Below are 21,079 nucleotides of genomic sequence, written 5' to 3'. Positions count from 1 at the left end.
GACAGCAAAGAAATTATCTGACCTACCTTGTCTGATTGGAGGTCATAAGACCCCCATTTCAGAAGGCATCCTGCCCTGTACTTGGGAGGAAAGAAGTTGCACAGAGAGGCCAAGAAGACTCTGAACAGAGAGGCCTTGCTAGGTTTCCCCACTCAGTCTGTTAGCATTAGGTCCTACTTTGTCCAATCATATTTCTACCCGGTTGTCCATGCTTCAGTCGTGACGGTCCAGTGAAGTCCTGGACCGGGTACAGAGAGCTTCCAGATAGCTGAACACGTGGAGGGTCCTGGAGGGTGGTGCACCCAGGGAGGGTATGAGAGCTCTGCACCCCTTCCCACATGCCTTGTTCTGTGCACCTCTTCATCTGCATTCTTTGTGCTATTCTTTATAATAAACCAGTACACGTGTTTTCCTGAGTTCTGGGCACAGCTTTAGCAAATTAATCAAACCTAAGAAGGGGGTCATGGGAACACTGACTTGAAGCTGGTTGGCCAGAAGTTCTGGATGAGGCCTGGCCTTACAACTAGTGTCTGAAGTGGGGGCAGTCTTGTGAGACTGAGCCCTCTCTCAGCCTGTGGGATCTAATGCTATCTCCAGGTAGATAGCATGAGAATTGAATTGGATTAGAAGGTGCTCAGCTGGTGGTATCTTCTGCAGAACTGATTGCTTCTTGTTGGTGGGGAGAAATCCCCACACATTTGGTCACAGAAGTCTACTGTGTTGATGATTGTGGTGTAAGAGCAGAGGAAAAGCAATTTGATTTTTCTCCACAAGGGGAAGAAAATGTTTCATGATTCAACTAATGATTTACCTTTCATTGTAAGGTTATCATGCTCAAGTATTAATGTAGGAAGGCTTTTTTGATGCAGAGTGTGTGTGTGTGTGTGTGTGTATATACGTGTGTGTTTGTAGAGGGCTAACATTAAAAAGGGAAATGTAATAAGGAAGAAGAAATGGTGTTCTAAACTTAAAACCCATTTCATCTGCTAAATCGTCCTAGTGAAATACCAACTTTAGTTAATTTTAAAAAAAGTTTAGTTAATTGTAAAAAAAAAAAGAATCTCTTCATTATATTTTAAAAACCATTTGTGTTTCCTTTTTCTGTAATTTATTCATATTTGTCCATTTTAAATTTCAGTGTTATTCTTATTCTTGTTATTGATTTTTTAAAACGTGGTCTTTATATTTGAGTGAAATTAACCTTCCATCATGAGTTGGAGCATTTTTTCCCCAATATATACTTCTCTTTTGATTTTGCTTATGGTCATTTTATAATGCCATGGTTTTTTTTGTTGTTTGTTTTTTTTTTTTTTTTTTTGAGACGGAGTCTCGCTCTCTCAGCCAGGCTGGAGTGCAGTGGCGTGATCTCAGCTCACTGCAACCTCCACCTCCCCGTTTCAAGCGATTCTCCTGCCTCAGCCTCCCGAGTAGCTGGGATTACAGGCGTGCACCACCACGCCTGGCTAATTTTTGTATGTTTAGTAGTAATGGAGTTTCACCATGTTGGACAGGCTGGTCTCAGACTCCTGACCTCAGGTGATCTGCCCATCTTGACCTCCCAAAGTCCTGGGATTACAGGCATGAGCCACCATGCCCAGCCTGGTCATGGTTTTATACATGCTATGTTTATAATCAAATTTTACTTCTATTTAATAGATGACTAACACACTTACACATAGATGCTTATACCCAAATATATATGTTTATAGATTTTAAAATGCTAATTATATTTAAAAGGCCTAATAAGGAGTTTCAGCAAAAGCTGTTATATATATGTATATAATGGACCAATTGCAGTTGGATCAATAAAGAACTGTAAGGTGTGTTATGATCTAGAAAAGTGATTCTTTTTTTTTTTTGAGATGGAGTCTTGCTCTGTTGCCCATGCTGGAGTGCAGTGGCACGATCTCGGCTCACTGCAAGCTCCGCCTCCCGAGTTCACGCCATTTTCCTGCCTCAGCCTCCTGGGTAGCTGGGACTACAGGCACGTGCCACCACACCCAGCTAATTTTTTGTATTTTTAGTAGAGACGGGGTTTCACCATGTTGGCCAGGATGGTCTCGATCTCTTGACCTCGTGATCCGCCCTCCTTGGCCTCCAGAAGTGCTGGTATTACAGGCGTGAGCCACTGCTCCCGGCCCTGAAAAGTGTTTCTTAACAATAACTAGGAACTGTGCTGTGTGTTTTATATAAGAGTATATTATATAATTTTTTTTTTCTTTGAGATGGAGTCTCACTCTGTTGCCCAGACTGAGTGCAGTGGTGCGATCTCAGCTCACTGCAGCCTCTACCTCCCAGGTTCAAGCGATTCTCCTGCCTCAGCCTCCCAAGTAGTTGGGATTACAGGCGCACGCCACCATGCCCTGCTAATTTTTGTATGTTTAGTTTTACCATGTTGGCCAGGCTGGACTCAAACTCCTGACCTCAAGTGATCCTCCCACCTCGGTCTCCCAAAGTGCTGGGATTACAGGTGTGAGCCACCGTGCCTGGCCCCCAATCTTTAATTAAGAAGCAGGTGCCAGGCACAATGGTATACTCCTATAATCTCAGCTACTCAGGAGGCTGAGGTGGGAGGATTGCCAGTGCTTGAGCCCGGGAGTTTGAGACCAGCCTGAACAACATAGTGAGACCCTTATCTCAATTTTAAAAAGAAAGAATTAGGTAATGATATGATTTTAATTTTATAGGTGTGGAAACGGAGGCTTAGAGAATTGAATAATCATATATACCTTATAAGATTCTCTCATACTCCATTTTTAAAAGTTTTCGATCAAGTTTAAGTTGTATTGATACACGATATATAGTGAAGTGTCTATGTACAATGCTTAATTTACATATATATACATTTCCAATTATGAATATATTGCAAACTGTATTAGTGAATGAATTATTCATTTATCATATCAGTATTATATATTACTATAATATATAAATATACTAATTATATATTAGTATTAATGTAAACATTAATTTAGAAATACTTTTTTCTCCAGTGAAGCCTCCTCAGACTTCTCATATGCATCTTCAGTATTTATGGGTTTCTACCCTTTAAACAATCTAACAGTTCCAGAGCAAATATTATCTTCTAAGAGGTTTGAGATAGATCCTTATTTGAATCAGTATATTATGTTGTGACTGGAAATTTTATCCCTAGCCATGTCTCTATTCACATAACATTAGTAAATGTGATTTTTCATTAATATATTTCATATGAGTAGCATTAATGATCTCCATGACATAATTACTTAGTCTGTTGCTTTTGAAGTGATTCATTCATTCTACAGATACTTACTGAACACACACTATGTGCCAGAAACTGCTAGCATTGGAAGTAGAGCTGTGAACAAAATCAAGCATCAACATTTCTGATATTTGAGAAGACAGGCAACAAGCAAATATGTGATGTAAAGTAGTGATAAGTGCTGTAAAATCACAAGAGGGTATAGAATGAGGATTGTTCTTCAAGTTGATAGAACAGATCTTTAAAGAAGTGATTTGAGGCTGGGCGTGGTGGCTTACACCTGTAATCCCAACACTTTGGGAGGCCGAGGCGGGTGGATCATGAGGTCAAGAGACTGAGACCATCCTGGCCAACGTGCTGAAACTCCGTCTCTACTAAAAATACAAAAATTAGCCAGGCGATACAAAAATTAGCCAGGCGTGGTGGTGCGTGCCTGTAGTCCCAGCTACTCGGGAGGCTGAGGCAGAAGTGCTTGAACCCGGGAGGCGGAGGTTGCAGTGAGCCAAGATCATGCCACTGCATGCCAGCCTGGGCGACAGAGCAAGACTCCATCTCAAAAAAAAAAAAAGATGATTCGAGGCTTCGTGTGGTGGTTCATGCCTGTAATCCCTGCACTTTGGGAGGCTGAGGCAGGAGGATCGCTTGAGCTCGGGAGTTTGAGGCCAGCCTGGGCAACATGGTGAAACCCCATGTCTATAAAAAATACAAAAATTAGTCGGGTGTGATGGTGGGCGCCTGTAGTCCCAGCTATTTGGGAGGCTGAGGTGGGAGGAACACTTGAACCTGAGAGGTCAAGGTTGCAGTGAGCCAAGATGGCAGCACTGTACTCCAGGTTGGGCAACAGAGTGAGACCCTGTCTCAAAAAAAAAAAAAAAAAGTGATTTGAGCAGAGGCCTGAATGACATAAAGTGTTTAGATATCTGGAGACTTTGCAAGCAGATGCAGAAACCCTGGGGTTGGAAAATGCTTACAGTCTGAATAGTAAAAGAGGCACCACCAGCATGACTTCTAGTTATTGTGCTACACCCTGCACATTTTTTTTTCTTTTTCGAGACAGGGTCTCACTCTGTCACCTAGATGGGAGTGCAGTGGCATGTTCATGGCTCACTCCAGCTTCAACCTCCTAGGCTTCAGCAATGCTCTTGCCTCAGCCTTTGGAGTAGCTGGGACCACAGGTTTGTGTCACCACGTATGACTAATTTTTTTTTTATTTTTCCTGTGTTGCCCAGGTTGGTTTTGAACTCCTGGGTTCAGGTGATCCTCCTGCCTTGGCCTCCCAAAGTGCTGGGATTCCAGGCAAGAGCCACCATGCCTGGCCCTGGGCAACATTTTTATTGTCAGTCATTTAATAGCCTAGTCTAATGGATGTGTAGTGATATGTCATTGTGATTTTAATTTGCCTTTCCTTAATGGCTAATGATGCTGAACACTTTTTTATGTGCTTTTTTTTTTTTTTGCCATTTATAAATTTTCCTTTGTGAAGTTTAAGTCTTGCCATTTTTAAATTGGGTTGTTTACCTTTTTATTCAACAGCTGTAGGTTTTTTGTTTTTTTTTTTTTGATACAGAGTCTCACTCTGTCTCCAGGCTGTAGTGCAGTGGCACATCTTGGCTCACTGCAACCTCCGTTCCCAGGTTCAAGTGATTCTCCTGCCTCAGCCTCCCAAGTAGCTGAGATAACAGGCATGCACCACCACGCATGGTCCACCCACCTCGGCCTCCCAAAGTGCTGGGATTACAGGCGTGAGCCACTGCGCCCAGCCCAGAAAGGAACATTCTTAAGCATTGAAGTGATTCTTGTCAAATTTGATTTCTATTCAAATTTAGGAGCTGGGCCAGGCACGGTGGCTCAGCCCTGTAATCCCAGCACTTCGGGAGGCTGAGGTGGGTAGATTGCCTGAATCCAGGAGTTTGAGACCAGGCTGGACAACATGGGGAAACCCCTGTCTCTACTAAAAATACAAAAGATTAGATGGGCCTAGTGGCACCTCACGCCTGTAGTCCCCAGCTACCCCGGAGGCTGAGGTGGGAGAATCTCCCGAACCTGATGGGAAAGGTAGCAGTGAGTTGAGATAGTGCCACTGTACTCCAGCCTGGGCAACAAAGTGAGACCCTGTCTCAAAAAACAAAACAAAACCAAACAAATTTAGGAGCTAGCTTGTGATTGTAGAAATAATTTTGGCAATAGAAGTGAGGGAACTGAGTTGTAGTCTAGCTAGTTAACATGTGACAAACCATTAACTTTATATGTCTCATTTTCTTCATCTGTAAAATGAGGAAGATTTGATTAGAGGATTTATTAAAGTTCTTTTAAAATCTGAAATTACAGTTTCTTAATTGGTTTTGTAGAGATTTTGGCTTTATAAAAATGTGTGAACCATAGTGACAGCAGAAACATTTGAAATCCTATATTTGGGTGATTCATAAAAGAAAGGAAGAATTATGGGCATCTTGCCTGTAAAATGTTATGTAATCTGAATCATTGTTACCCACAGCATCCTGTGACTGATAAAGGTACTCATGGCCACCTCTCCTCCCTTGTCTTTCTGTAGTACTTTCCTTTCTCCCCACCTCAATAATAGCTTTATTGATGTATAATTCACATACCATACATGTCATCTATTAATATTTAAAGCATACAATTCAGCGGTTTTTAGTCTATTTACAGAGTTGTACAGCCATCATCACAATCAATTTTAGAACACTTTCTGAACTCCAGAAAGAAAGTACCCTGCCTATTTCCCCTCTATCACCTAGCCCTAGGCAACTATGAATCTACTTTCAGCCTCCATAGATTGCCCTGTTATGGACAAATATGTGGCTGGTTTCTTAGTATAATGTTTTCAAGGTTATTTACGTTGTAGCATGTGTCAGCTATTTCATTTCTTTTTACTGTCAAATAACATTCAGTTGTATGGATATACCACATTTTATCTATTCCATCAGTTGATGGACATTTGAGTTGTTTTCATTTTGGGATTATTATAAATAATGCTACTATGAACATTTGTATACAAACATTATGTGGACATGTGTTTTCATTTCTCTTGGACATATACTTAGGAATGGGATTGCTGTATCACATGATACCTCTGTATTTAACCTTTTGAGGAATTGCCAAACTGTTTTCCAAAAGTGGCTGCACCATTTACATTCCCACTATCAATATATGCTCCAGTTTCTCTACATCCTACCTTATACTTTTTTTTTTTTTTTCTTTTTTTTGAGACAGAGTCTCGCTCTGTCGCCCAGGCTGGAGTACAGTGGCACAATCTCGGCTCACTGCAACCTCCGCCTCCTGAGTTCAAGCAATTCTAAATTATCATGCCTCAGCCTCCCGCATAGCTGGGATTAGAGGCGTTTGCCACCATGCCTGGCTAAGTTTTATATTTTTAGTAAAAATGGGGTTTCGCCATGTTGGCCAGGCTGTTCTCGAACTCTTGACCTCAGGTGATCCACACGCCTCGTCCTCCCAAAATGCTGGGATTATAGGTGTGAGCCACCATGTCCGGCCTGATTGGCCAGCTTTTCATTTGGAATGGGGATAGGACATAGTTGGAAGTTGGTGTCTTTGGTTATTTCCCTAACATGTCCAAGCATCCTAAAGTATCAGTCAAATAAGCAGTCTCTTCTCATTCCTGGCAGAGAGTAAGTCAAAGCCTTAATTCAATTTGCATACCTGTTTTCATGTAACAACAAATAATTTTTTTTTTTTGAGACAGAGTTTCTCTGTTGTTGTTTAGGCTGGAGTGCAATGATGCGATCTTGGCTCACTGCAACCTCTGCCTCCCGGGTTCAAGCGATTCTCCTGCCTTAGCCTCCCAAGTAGCTGAGATTATAGGCATGCACCACCACAGCCGGCTAGTTTTGTATTTTTAGTAGAGACGGGGTTTCTCCGTGTTGGTCAGGCTGGTCTTGAACTCCTGACCCCAGGTGACCCGCCTGCCTCGGCCTCCCAAAGTGCTGGGATTACAGGCGTGAGCCACCACGCCTGGCCACAACAAAGAATTTTACCAGAAGTGGGTATGATTTATATCTTAGTTTGAATTGCTACTTACCTTTGGGGAACAGACCTTTCCTTGATGTATCTTTAACACTGAAATCTTGGCAAGTTGCCAAGTCTCAAATGTTCATGAGTAAGACTGCAATATCACAATATCATAGTCACACAGGAATCTGATAGAAAAGCATCACATTTATAAAGCCTTCTTTCCTGTACATCACTGACGTTTTGTGAATTTTAAAGAATTTGTAATTATTTTTAAGGAGCATATTTAATGTAGTTAATGTAACCTAGAATAGGCTCATTTGAAATGAAACTCTTGCTAATAGGAACTTAATTCACCAAATTAAGAATATTTAGTTTTTGTAGAGATTTTGCTCTTGAAAATGTTGCAGTCTTGATTTCGTCTTGTCAGTCCAGTCAGAATTGTGAAGTATTTTTTTTTCTCATTCCAGAAATACATGCTACAGGATTTAACTATCAGAATGAAGATGAAAAAGTCACCTTGTCTTTCCCTAGTACTCTGCAAACAGGTAAGAGACATAGCTTTTGTAAAATCTCGTGATGAATATAGTGACATCTGACTTCCTCCAGAGAAATTTATTGTATGCCATTTTTTCCCTCGTTGTTATTAGCAGATTAAGTATTAAGAGCTTTTTTTTTTTTTTACTTTGAGACGGAGTCTTACTCTATTGCCCAGGCTGGAGAGTAGTGGCATGATCTTGGCTCACTACAACCTCCACCTTCCAGGTTCGAGTGATTCTCCTGCCTCGGCCTCCCGAGTAGCTGGGATTACAGGTGCCTACCACCACACCGGCTAATTTTTTTGTATTTTTAGTAGAGACAAGGTTTCGCCATGTTGGCCAGGCTGGTCAGGCTGGTCTTGAACTCCTGATCTCAAGCGATCTGCCCGCCCTGGCCTCCCAAAGTGGTAGGATTACAGGCAGGAGCCACCGCGCCCAGCTGTATTAAGAGCTTTTTAAAGAGGTTTGTTGCAACTTTTGGGCCACCAGCATTTCCTTCTGCGGAAGTTGGGCTACGAAAAGCAGGGTTTCCACCTCCTGTCACTCTATATTCTCTTTAAACAAACAAGCCAAGAAAAACAGGACAAAAACTAAAGATCATTCTATCCTAGAATGTAATGTATTGTTTTCCAGTTTTACCTTTTTAAAAATACCTTTACCTAGGCCAGGCGTGGTGGCTCACACCTGCAATCCTAGCGCTTTGGGAGGCCAAGGCGGGCTGATCACTTGAAGCCAGGAGTTAGGGACCAGCCTGGCCAACATGGCAAAACCCCATCTCTACCAAAAAATACAAAAATTACCCAGTGTGGTGGCTCATCCCTATAATCCCAGCTACTCAGAAGGCTGAGGCAAGAAAATCGCCAGAAGTCAGGAAGTGGAGGTTGCAGTGAACCGAGATCATGCCACTGCACTCCAGCCTGGGTGATAGAGTGGGACTCTGTCTAAAACAAACGAACAAAATACTTTTACCTAGCTCCATCTTCTATTAATTCAATCCAAATCCCTGAAGTGAATGGTCACAGATGATTTTGATATACAACCAGAGATCAAATAGGTATTGTGTTATTGAGGGCACAGAAAGAAAGATACGTTGATATGTTACTATTGTTAGGTATAAAAGCACAAAGAAATAGACTTTCTGAGCTTAGTATATGTGGAAGAAATTATATACCAATCAATTGGTGAAGTACTAAGACTTTGATGAATGAACAAATGAAAAGGAACAGATAATTCAAAAGGAAGAAAATGTAAATGACTAATAAACATGTGAAAAGATATTGAGCCTCCTAGTAATGAGAAATTTTTGCTTCTCATGTGAGCTGAAATTTTAAAAATTCCCAATGATATGGCTGCCTTGATATCGCTGGGGGGAGTATAAATCCATGTAATTTTTTTGTAAAGCATTCTGGCAGTATATCAAGAGCCTAAATATGTTCATGTCCTTTGACCCAGCAATTCTGCTAATAGGAATATATCCCAAGGAAAAGTCATAAATACAGAAAATACTTTATGCCCAGAAGTGTCTGAGATATTACTTACGGTAGTAAAAAATTATAATTAATATATTTGTTCAACACTAAGGAAATGATCAAGCCAGGAATGATATATCTATATAGTGAAATATACTTAGCAATTAAAAGTGAGGTTTGCGAATTCTTAACCCTGTAAAGTGCTTATTATAATGTAAAATTGAAAAGAAGAATATAAAATTACATATTTAAGGTGGTGAATCATGTCTCTAAATGGCACAAATAAAATGATAATTATGTCTGGGTGTTGACATAATTGGTGATTTTTATTCTTATTTATATCTTTTGTCTGATTTTCACAATTTTCCTACTGAGAATCTATTGAATTAATATAAAATTATTTTTAGAAAAAATTTAAATTGGAGATGTTTAGTCTTTTATTTCAGTGCTCTTGGAGGCCCTTTATGTGTAATTATTATAAAAATAAATGGGCCGGGCGTAGTGGCTCACGCCTGTAATCCCAGCACTTTGGGAGGCCGAGGCGGGCGGATCACGAGGTCAGGAGATCGAGACCATCCTGACTAACACGGTGAAACCCTGTCTCTACTAAAAATACAAAAAATTAGCTGGGAATGGTGGCAGGTGCCTGTAGTCCCAGCTACTCGGGAGGCTGAGGCAGGAGAATGGCGTGAACCCGGGAGGTGGAGCTTGCAGTGAGCCGAGATCGCACCACTGCACTCCAGCCTGGGTGGCAGAGTGAGACTCCGTCCCAAAAAACAAAACAAAACAAAACAAAAAATGCTTTGCCATGAACATGTATTAAAAGCTATTGAAGAATATAATTTGAAAAGGAAGGAGATTCTTTCGCTGATTTCTTCTACTTCCATTGTCTGGTGAATCTGTCTAGAAATATTCCTATGTATATATAAATTTATGTATATAATTTAACCCACAGATAGGATCACAAATCTCAGTGGCTTATAACCACTGAGATTTCTTTCTTTTTTACACATGGGCCATGAGGACTGCTGATCATATGCAGCCATATCACCAACTCTGCTGGCTCCACTTGGCTCCCAACTGTCTTTCCAGGACTAGTAGTCAGCGAGCAGCCACTCTCTGTATCATGCATGGCAGAGGGCAGAGGCTCAGGGATGGGGAGAAAGCTAGACCACAAAGACACATTTAAAACTTCTGCATGGCCAGGCGTGGTGACTCACACCTGTAATCCCAGCATTTTTGGAGGCTGAGGCAGGAGGATTGCTTGAGCCCAGGAGTTCGAGACCAGCCTAGGCAATGTAGTGAGACCCTGTCTCTATAAAAAATAAAATAAAAAATAAAATTTCTGTGTGATGGTGGTATACTTGATGTCTACTCACATTTCATTGACCAAAGCAAGTAGCATGACCAAGCCCAAAGTCACTGGGGTAGCATTTAACAGACATTTGCGAAAAGTTTCTAATGAAAGATAGGGCAAAAAGCAAAATTATAAGTATAATAGAAATAAAGGAAGTTGGAAAAAGCAAAGACAAATCTAAAGAAAGTTAAAAAAAAAACAAACCCATAGCTAATTACTATCCTTAGAGAGTTAAGAGAAAGCATTGCGTGCATTAAACAAGGACAGGACAGAATGCCATCAGATAGGAAGAATTACAGCAGGAAAACTTGGAAATTATGATAGGTATAAAAAACCCAGTAAAAGTGTTAAAGATGAAGTTGAGGAAACTTCCAAGCAGTAGAAAAAACAGATAGAAAACAGAAAAATAGATTTGAGAACCAGTCCAGCAGAACCAACATCCATCTAGTAAAACAGAAAGCAGAGGAAATGGGAAGAGGATTTTTTAATTTTCATTTTTGCAACAGAATCTTGCTCTGTCACCCAGGCTGGAGTGCAGTGGTGCAATCTCGGCTCACCACAGCCTCCACCTCGTGGGTTCCAGTGATTCTCCTGCCTCAGCCTCCTGGGTAGCTGAGATTACAGGCACACACCACCACGCCCAGCTGATTTTTGTATTTTTAGTAGAGTTGGGGTTTCACCATGTTGGCCAGGCTGGTCTCGAACTCCGGACCTTAGGTGATGTGCCCACTTCGGCCTCTCAAAGTGCTAGGGATTACAGGCGTGTGCCACTGTGCCCGGCCAGAAGAGAAACTCAAAAAGACAGGAACATTTCCTTGAACTGATAGAGCAGGAGCCTTCAGTTTGCAAAGGTACACCATTGAGAGAGACTAGCTTAAAAAATGTAAAAATTGCCACACTGACTGAAATTTTAGAACTTCTGCGATAAAGTAAAACTCCCAGAAAGTTCCTGTCTGGGATAGGGGGCAATAGGAGGGAAGGCAGGTGGCATACTACCTTTAAAATTTAGGAATCAGAATAGTCCTAGACTTACCATTAGGAACAGTGGAAACTTAGACTCTAATGAAGCTGTTCATTCAAAATACAAAGTGAATCTGATTTTCAACCTAAGATTGCATGCTTAGCCCAACTTTGAATTTCGGAGTAAAAATATTTTCAGATTTGCAAGGTCATAGAAAATTTGATTCTTTGTAAAAGATATTGGAGTGGGGGATGGATTAGCTAAAGCATGACTTTCTACAGTGAAGAGAAAATGTCTAAAGTTGAAAAATGAAGAAATAGGCCGTGGTCGTGGCTCATGCCTGTAATCCCAACACTTTGGGAGGCTGAGGTGGGAGGATTGCTTGCCCAGGAATTGAAGGCTGCAGTGAGCCGTGATTGTACCACTGCCCTCGAGCCTGGGCGACAGAGCAAGACTGTCTCAAAGAAAGGAAAAGAAAAAATAGCTGTGTAAGCAAGACATTTAGAAGTCACAGAGTTTGAAATTGATTGCTTCTAGGGGCAGGGTGTGGGGAGTAGGGCCTAGTGTTGAGCAGGGCCTGGAGCTTACGTATTTTAAACTGTGAACTATTACTTTGATAGAAATTTAAAAAATTTTAGAGTTTTAAATCTATATCATTACAGACTATATATATTCTGTGTTTACACTGTGAAAAAATTAGAAGTCAATAGAAAAAGAGAAATGAAAAAAATCCCTTTTTATATATTTGAAAAAATTATACCTCTGAATAATTGAGTCAAAGAAGACTTGTTATGGAAATTAGAAAATATTTAGAACTGAATAATGAAATTACCACATATGAAACATTAGGGATAAACATGTTTCATATGCAGATAAAATATTAGAATATTTAGTTAAGAAGAAAGACTGAAAATTAATTAGCTAAGCATTAAACTCATAAAAACAAAAGGTAACTTGGAGAAAGTAGAAGAAAGTTTTAAGAGCAGAAACAAATGAAATAAGTGAAGTGAGGGGCAGAAATATTAAAAAACTGATATTTAAAAATAGTCCCAAAAGATATATAAACCTAGCCAGTATAGAAAATAAAAGCGTAGATTGAATTGTTGTTCAGCATTAGGAAATATGGTAACCATTTTTCATTAAATTTAAAAAGTTAAACATTCTATATTTATCAAAAGGAATCAGTTTATTTGCTAGAATTCACCAGGGAAGAGTAGACAGAAACTTCTAACATGATAGAAGATATGTATTACACACACACACACACACACACACACACACACACACGACATAATCTGTGCCAAGTACTGTTTTAAGTGCCTCAAAAATATTAATTTATTTAGTCCTTTCAACAACCTTTTGAGGTAGATTTGTTTTGTGACAAAGTCTCTCTGTCACCCAGGCTGGAGTATAGTGGTGCAGTCACGGCTCACTGCAGCCTCAAACTCCTGGGTTTAAGTGATTCTCCCACTTCAGCCTCCCATGTAGCTAGGACTGCCTACACATGACAGTGCATCTGGTTAATTTTTAAATTTTTTTGTAGAGACAGGGTCTCGTTATGTTGCCTAGGCTGGTCTCAAATGCCTGGCCTCAGGTGATCCTCCTACCTCAGAGAGAGGATCTTGCCATCCTCCCAAATGTTGAGATTACAGGCATGAGCCACTACGCCAGCCAGATTCTGTTACTTCTATTTTGTAGATAAACTAAGGCAGAAAAATGATTTCAGTAACTTAAATAATTTGTCCAAGGTAACATAGCTAGTAAGTAACATAGCTGGGATTTAAACCCAAGCAGTTTAACTCAAAAGTCTGCACTTTTAACCACCACATTGTGCTATCTTTATTTTTCAAATTAAATATTTCAAAAACATAGTACATTTACATAATTTGAAATTCAAATGCTATGCAATGAAATTTTGTTTGCCAGTCTACCCTGTCTTCTTTCTCAGCTCCATTCCTCAACAGAATGAAATGAAATTTTCCTTTCAAAACTATACCCCTGCTTTTGTAAGCATTTATATATATACTTTTTAAGAACACAGAAATCACCATGCCATACATAATGTTCTGCACCTTTCTTCTTTTCCCCTTAACTGTAAATATTGGAGGCCATTTATTACTAGTATATAAGAGATGTATCATTCTTGATAAGGTCTGTTTACAGCAGACATGCTAAATGGTGAAGCTATTTCAAATAATAACAAACAAGTTAGAGAAGGTTATGACCATTAGTATAGTATGATTTAACATAATTTTTGATATTTTTGGCCAATATAACAATTTTGAGCTAATATAACAACTGATATAAATATTAGAACAGAAAAATTATCTTGCAGGTGTGACAATATTGAATTATTATTATTATTATTTTTTGAGATGGAGTCTCGCTCTGTCGTCCAGGCTGGAGTGCAGTGGCGCGATCTCAGCTCACTGCAAGCTCTGCCTCCTGGGTTCATGCCATTCTCCTGTCTCAGCCTCCCGAGTAGCTGGGACTACAGCTGCCCGCCACCACGCCCGGCTAATTTTGTTTTTGTATTTTTAGTAGAGATGGGGTTTCACTGTGTTAGCCAGGATGGTCTTGATCTCCTGACCTCGTGATCCTCCCGCCTCGGCCTCCCAAAGTGCTGGAATTACAGGTGTGAGCCATCACGCCCAGCCGACAATATTGAATTATTGAATATCTGTTTGAAACCATTGGCTTTCACATTTTCCCAAGGTTTGCTTTAAAAATGAAGTTAATCTTTTTCAAGACAGATTGCACAAGTGATCTATCTGATAATGAAGCAAATACTGAGCTTATCTTAGGAGGACATTAATAACCTTTGTGTTTAGCCTCATCAAATTTAACAGTAATGCAAGCTATTATACAGCTAAGTAAAACCTACTTTTCTGAAATTGGCACCATTCTGGGATAGTGATTAAATTACCATAATTATTGTAAGGTCTAACAACCTTAGAATTAGTGGCTGAGGGTCCTGAGGGTGGCATTTATATGGAGAAACACTGGTAGTTGTCAGCATTTTGAAGAGTCAAAAACAAGATAATAAAAAGTGGTGACACATGGCGAAACCCTGTTTCTACTAAAAACAAAAATTAGTCAGGCCTGGTGGCGCACGCCTGTAGTTCCAGCTACTCAGGAGGCTGAGGCAGGAGAATTGCTTGAACCCGGGAGCCGAAGGTTGCAGTGAGCCGAGATTGCACCACTGCACTTTAGCCTGGGTGACAGACTGAGACTGAGACTCCATTTTCCAAAGAAAAAAAGAGGTGGTGACACAAAGGCAACGATCTTTATTCCCTTTTTGTATAAATTAATCTCTTTATTTTTATAGCATTTAGTAGACTCATTAAATTTCTTATTATTAAAGTATTTCAAGATTTACTCCAGGTTTTACAATTGTTATACTCTCCTAAGCTTTAAACATTTAAGGTTTTTGATGGAAGTCCCAATTTTTCAGTTGTTTACTTTATAAACGAGCTTGATGTATGTTTCAAAAGGTTTACAACCCCAAACATAAATATTTCATACATTGGATATGAAATAAGGTATCTAATTTGAGGAAGTGGTGTAAATTATGTGTGTTGATAGGTATAAAATTAGACAATTTGGCAATCCGTTCATTAATATGGTGTAAATTTGATAAATGAAATTTATTAAAAAGTCATTTTTTCTCCTACTTGCCCTAAAATTCTACTATATGAATAGTAAGTAAATACTTTGTAATTGGTATCATATAATGTGACACTAATTAAACTTATTAATGATTTTTAAATACTTTAACTTGTGTTTTGTTTGAATTTCAGGTAATAACTCTTTCCAATACTTTGTATTTTGTTTAGTATGCCACTTTTTGGAAGTGGTCACTGTCAATATCTTGTTATGGTTTGATGGCCTTGGAGATTTAAAACCGAGTAAAAGTGTAAGCAGTCTTTCTTATTTAGTTATGAGTTTTAAAACCACTTATGTTCCAACTAGGAAAAAATGCAAGTAGATTTACCATGAAATATGAATTATATTTAAAAAACATCTTAACAGTTGACTGACTTAGTGAAACAGACTGGGCAATTCCACTTATGGAATTGTAACATAAAATTCCATCATATAGTTTCCATTAAAGGTAGTAGGTTTTTATAATCTGTTAGACGTTCTTTGCAAACTTTATTAATGTGAATACATTTGCTTTTTTAAAAAAATTAAGTGAACTTCTAAAGAAAATAGAAATTAAAAATTTTTAATTTAAATTTTGCTTTATAGTTTAATTTTTTAGTATCATTTAGAATTATCAATTATTTTACTATATCCATATATACTGTCCCAGTAACCTGTCATTCTCTTTAAAGAAAAAAGTATTCATTGTCCTCTTTAGATATTTACAAATATCTGATTTCTAAAAAATAAACATCACAAATGTCTATTCAATTAAGCTTCAGTTGAGTTGTTTTTTTCTCAGAATGATTAAGAATATAGCACTTTCATTAGTGGTGACTTTGCTCTAAAGGTCTGAAATTTTCACTTAAATTACTTTCAGAACCAGTTTGAGGCATCAGGCTAGAGACAGTTTGTAGTTTGTCATTCACTTATTCTGTAGACTCGCACTCCCCATAACTTTTGGTCCTTTCCAAAAGCAAATTCAATTTTATAAGATGAAGATTTGACTTTGAGATCATTCAAAAGAGTGTCAGAGGGGCTGGGCACAGTGGCTCATGCCTGTAATCCCAGCACTTCGGGAGGCCAAGGTGGGTGGATCACTTGAGGCCAGGAGTTTAAGACCAGCTGGCCAACATGGCAAACCCCTGTCTCTACTAAAAATGCAAAAATTAGCCAGGCGTGGTGGTGCCCGCCTGTAGTCCCAGCTACTCAGGAGGCTGAGGCACAATTGCTTGAACCCAGGAGGCGGAGGCTGCAGTGAGCCGAGATCACACCACTGTACTCCAGCCTGGGCAACAGAGTGAGCCTCTGTCTCAAAAAAAAAAAAAGAGAGAGAGAAAGAGAAAGTCACAACATTTTGAACAATGTCAAATGTCATTGCTCTTTAGCGTTCCAAAATGACAATTTGAAACATTAGGATATAAAAGTTTGGTATGATTGGTTAATTACTTTATAGTCATGCCCTATCTTTGATTTGTTAGACTTCCCATGCTTTAAATCTTGATATACGTAGGGCCTTTAAAATGGTCAACTAAAAAGTCACCATTCCTCTACGTTTTTTCGTGACTTGATTTGTAAAACACAGAATGGGATTACTGTTTTGCCATGCATCTGTATTTAGCAGATGATTACTAGATAATAATTATAATTTTTTATGTTATAAAAAAGAAAGTATATAAACTCAAAAAAGCTCACTTTTTTGTCTAAATTGTTTTTGCTCTTATACAATAGAATACATATTTAAGTTGTATTTTTATTTGCATTTAATAATTTATTAATTAAATGTATTTCTTTGTCAGATTTCAAATGATTGAGGTGACTTGTAAGAATTTGTTTTATGCCCTGTTGCTGATCAAATCATTGGTCTTCCCTATAGCTCCTTACAAAATTATGCAATCAGTGTTCCATTTGGAGTAAACATTTAGTGTCTTATCTTGATAGAGTAATTGGCTACATTTCTCTTTCTATGCATGAAGTTGTGTAAAAGGACCAATTCACATGTATAATTGGCAGAGAGCATGAATTCTGGACTTAACATTTTATCCCATTCTCACTACTTACTAATTTTATGACACTGGACAAGTTATTTAGCTTCTCAGCCTCAGTTTCCTCATCTGAAAAAATGAGGACAATATCTACTTCCAGGTTTATAAATAGTTATATATATTTTAAAAGCACTGTGCACAATAGCACATATCAGGCATTTAAGAATAAATGTTTGTTTCCTTTCCTGTTCTTATTTTCACATATTGGTAGTTTGAGACTAAGTTAATAACTTTTTAGGCAGTCACCCTAAACATGACTTTCAAGAGTTATTTTAGGATTAGTCTGCCTTTTACTTTAGTAAGTACTGTATTCTCTCCATTGCCAGGAGGAATATTTGAAAAAGGAAGGAATGATTTGAACATTGTAAATAGCTAACTGAATATAGTGTCTTGAGGACATATTTTTGGTAACTGTGTTTAACATCTCCATAAAAGTGTTTTTTATTTATCTTCAATCACAGGTACAGGAACCTTAAAGATAGATTTTGTTGGAGAGCTGAATGACAAAATGAAAGGTTTCTATAGAAGTAAGTATACTACCCCTTCTGGAGAGGTGCCCTATGCTGCTGTAACACAGTTTGAGGTATGGGTTATTCTTCTCTAAAATATTATTATTCTTAAATTAGGCATTCTGACAAAGGTGTGTTTATTATGTGGGGTGATTATTTGAGGCTAGGTGCCCTTGGCCATGATTGTATTCACAATTTTAGAATTTTTATTTTATATTTAGCCATTATCTCTATAGAAAGGAGGGAATTAAGGGTATGGGTTGGGGAATGATTATATACAGTTATACACACAGACATTCAAACACACGACACATTTTGATACCTGAATTGCCTATATACTGTGTACCTTTCTTAAAATCATTCTCTTAGTATTTGACACCTATGGCTTTTCCTACAGTATTATTAGCTGTTTTCTAGAATTCCTTTCCTTCTTTGACATCTTTTGTTTATCTTACTGTAGTATCTGTGCTGTCTTTGATTTTTTTTCTCTCTCTCTGTGTGTGTGTGTGTGTGTGTGTGTGTGTGTGTATACATATATATATATACACACATATATATATTTGCTGTCCTACGTAGGCCAGGATGATTTTTATTTGTCAGGTATTTGCAAATTATATAAATTGTTTTGAATCTGCTAGTCGTATTTTTAAGTGTTAAATCTAATTAAATTTATTTCTATAAATTTCAGTATGGATAAAGAAACAATTCATGATATCCATTCTTATGTTTCTGCCCATATCCCTATATTGTTTGCTTGTTTGGGATAACCTAAAATTTTTTATCCAGTTTACTACTAATTTGTTTTACCTGATGTATCTTCTCTTTCAATAATTTTATGTTACCTTCTGTTTAGAATAATATTTGCCACAGATATTTAGGTTTAATTCTGTGTTTGAATGATTCCAATGCCTTTCTCTACCCACTTTGAACACTTCATCCTGGAATGGTTGGCTGATGTATGTCTCTAAACAATTTTTTTTTTAGGAGAAGGTATGTGGGTAATGTAATTCCTAAACCTTTGCTTTTCTGAAAAATCTTTCATTTGCCTTTATACATGACCAGATTTACTGGGTATATAGATTTGTTGATGAAAAAAGGTAAAAAGAGCAACTTTTGACATCCAGAGGTTGTCTGGCACTCACAGCTAGCCCGTGTTATTCTCCCTATTAGACATAATATTACAGAATACCAACTTTAGACAAGGCTACTTGAGACCATAATAAAGTGAGACAAAACAAGGGATCCATAATTTTGCCTAGGTACAGTACATACAGGATCACTATGCTACCCGCAAAATATCAAACATCTCCATCTCTCAGTTAAAATGAGTGACTACTGCTTCTTTACCAATTACGGTTTTAGATTTGCTCTAGTCTGGCCTCCGTATAGATAAGATTTATTGAGATACATACCCATAGAATTGCCTCATAGGACTTCTTGCAGCACTCAATCTAGAGTGAATCCCTGTTTACTTAGACCCTCTTCCAAATCATGTAAACCAAATCCCAAATCGTATAGTGGGTTCTTTCTTACATTCTTATGGAGACACCAGTGGTTCCCTGTGGTGTGAGTTCTCTCTTGCCATGAGTAATAGGCCCAGCTCATTCAATTGTAAGAGTAGTACAATCAGCTTACAATTTTTCACTTTCAAAAGTCTGTGAATATTGTTTCCAAAGTCTTCTACATCTCACTTTTTCAAGAGGAGGGGTCACAGACTAAAATGTTTCTTCTTCCTTTGTAGGTAAGATGTTGTTTCGTTTTGCTTTATTTTCTTCCTGCTTGCTTGTTAAATTATATCTTGATATCGAAAATTAAACTGTTTTTTAAACCAGGTGTTCACTTTTCATTGATTTTTGCATAGTACTTGGTGAACCCTATTGATTTTTAGATTCAGGTAATTTTTCAGTGTGAAAGAGTTTTTCTGTTATATCTTCACTGTGATATCCATTCCATTCCCTTCTCAGTTAATACTCAGTTTAGCTCTAGTATCTGTCTCTCAAATTATGTTTAATTGCTTTTATCACTTTGTCCTTTAGATATTTTCAAACTTAAATCTTGTTATCTGTCATTAATTTCCTTTAGTATAAATTCATTTCTCTACTGCTGCTGCTTCTAATTTAAATGCTTCTGTGCTGCCATTTCTTTCCTTATACTCTCCCTTCTTTTCAGATGTCTTTTTTATTCATTGATAGAATTCATTATTTATTTAATGTTTTTGAGAATGTAGTCAGCCAAGTTTCTTCTACCTCTTTGGTTTGTTTGTTTGTTTGTTTGTTCGTTTGTTTGTTTGTTTTTTAGTCGGAGCCTTGCTCTGTCGCCCAGGCTGGAGTGCAGTGGTGCAATCTTGGCTCACTGCAACCTCCGCTTCCCAGGTTCGAGCCATTCTCCTGCCTCAGCCTCCCGAGTAGCTGGGATTACAGGCATGTGTCACCATGCCTGGCTTATTTTTGTATTTTTAGTAGAGACGGGGTTTCACCATGTTGACCAGGCTGGTCTCGAACTCCTGACCTCAGGTGATCCGCCCACCTCGGCCTCCCAAAGTGCTGGAATTACAAGCATGAGCCACTGCACCCAGTCTGTTGTTTCTTTTTATGATACAGTATCTTGTCATTGGTTCCATTTTATTTACTAAATAAATGGAAAATTCTGTTTACTGAAGTGTCTTTCCTTTATAACTGATACCCTGCAGAACCCCTAAGTTTTATTTTGCTTTCATAAGGTTGCTCTTTTTTAAATTTTTAATGAAAGAGTAAGGACTCAAGTAGGTCAAGTGGCGACAGTTTTATGTGTAGCATATGGAAGTGCCATTAAATGAATGACCTGTCTTGAATTGATAGAGCATCTGTCTTTATTCCCATTGCTGCCATTCCAGATGAAGAACAAAGCACATCAAAGATTGAGAATATTTTTATTTTTAATTCAAAAATAAAAGCCAGAGAGGCAACTTACCATGTTTTCCCAACTTTGAATTCTTATAGCATACTCTTTACTGTTCTGTGCTCTGTGTTGTGTTAACATTATTGATTTGAAGGCATTTGCATTAAATTTGAAATGTTAAAATGTAAACAAAAATTTAGTTGTAAATAATTATAATATATTGTTAAAATCCATAGCAGACACTGTTCCTGGATATTTGCTGGAATGGCAGTGGTAGCAAGTGTTGTCTTTTCTTTCTAGTTAATGCCTAGCTTGTTGCCTGGCACTGAAGAGAAAGTAAATATTTGAACAAGGGAATGAATGAATGACAGAGGGAAATGGCGACTGCTTTATGAAATAACTTGTTAGGTTAATTCTAAGGTATTTATATTTCATATTCTTTTCTTAAG

General features: G+C 38.2%; 1 pseudogene across 1 annotated transcript in view, besides 1 other annotated feature; it reads left to right on the top strand.

Moving 5' to 3' along the window:
- The window catches only part of NPEPPSP1 (NPEPPS pseudogene 1), a 61,510-nt pseudogene that overhangs the window by 30,428 nt on the left and 10,003 nt on the right, over nucleotides 1–21,079 (top strand). Inside the window, exons 3-4 of the transcript NR_036750.2 lie at nucleotides 7,699–7,776; nucleotides 17,706–17,771. The product of NR_036750.2 is annotated as an NPEPPS pseudogene 1 (transcript). The remainder of the gene's footprint in view (nucleotides 1–7,698; nucleotides 7,777–17,705; nucleotides 17,772–21,079) is intronic.
- Nucleotides 2,050–2,551: an enhancer, noted in NCBI's record as "H3K27ac hESC enhancer chr17:36380303-36380804 (GRCh37/hg19 assembly coordinates)". NCBI's record gives its function as "activates a minimal SCP1, AML or CMV promoter by ChIP-STARR-seq in naive H9 embryonic stem cells {active_cell/tissue: H9 hESC(naive)}" and the evidence as "EXISTENCE:reporter gene assay evidence [ECO:0000049][PMID:30033119]".

Source organism: Homo sapiens, chromosome 17 (assembly GCF_000001405.40).
Source record: "Homo sapiens chromosome 17, GRCh38.p14 Primary Assembly".
NCBI lineage: Eukaryota > Metazoa > Chordata > Mammalia > Primates > Hominidae > Homo > Homo sapiens.
This window is presented reverse-complemented; position numbering and strand designations above follow the sequence as displayed.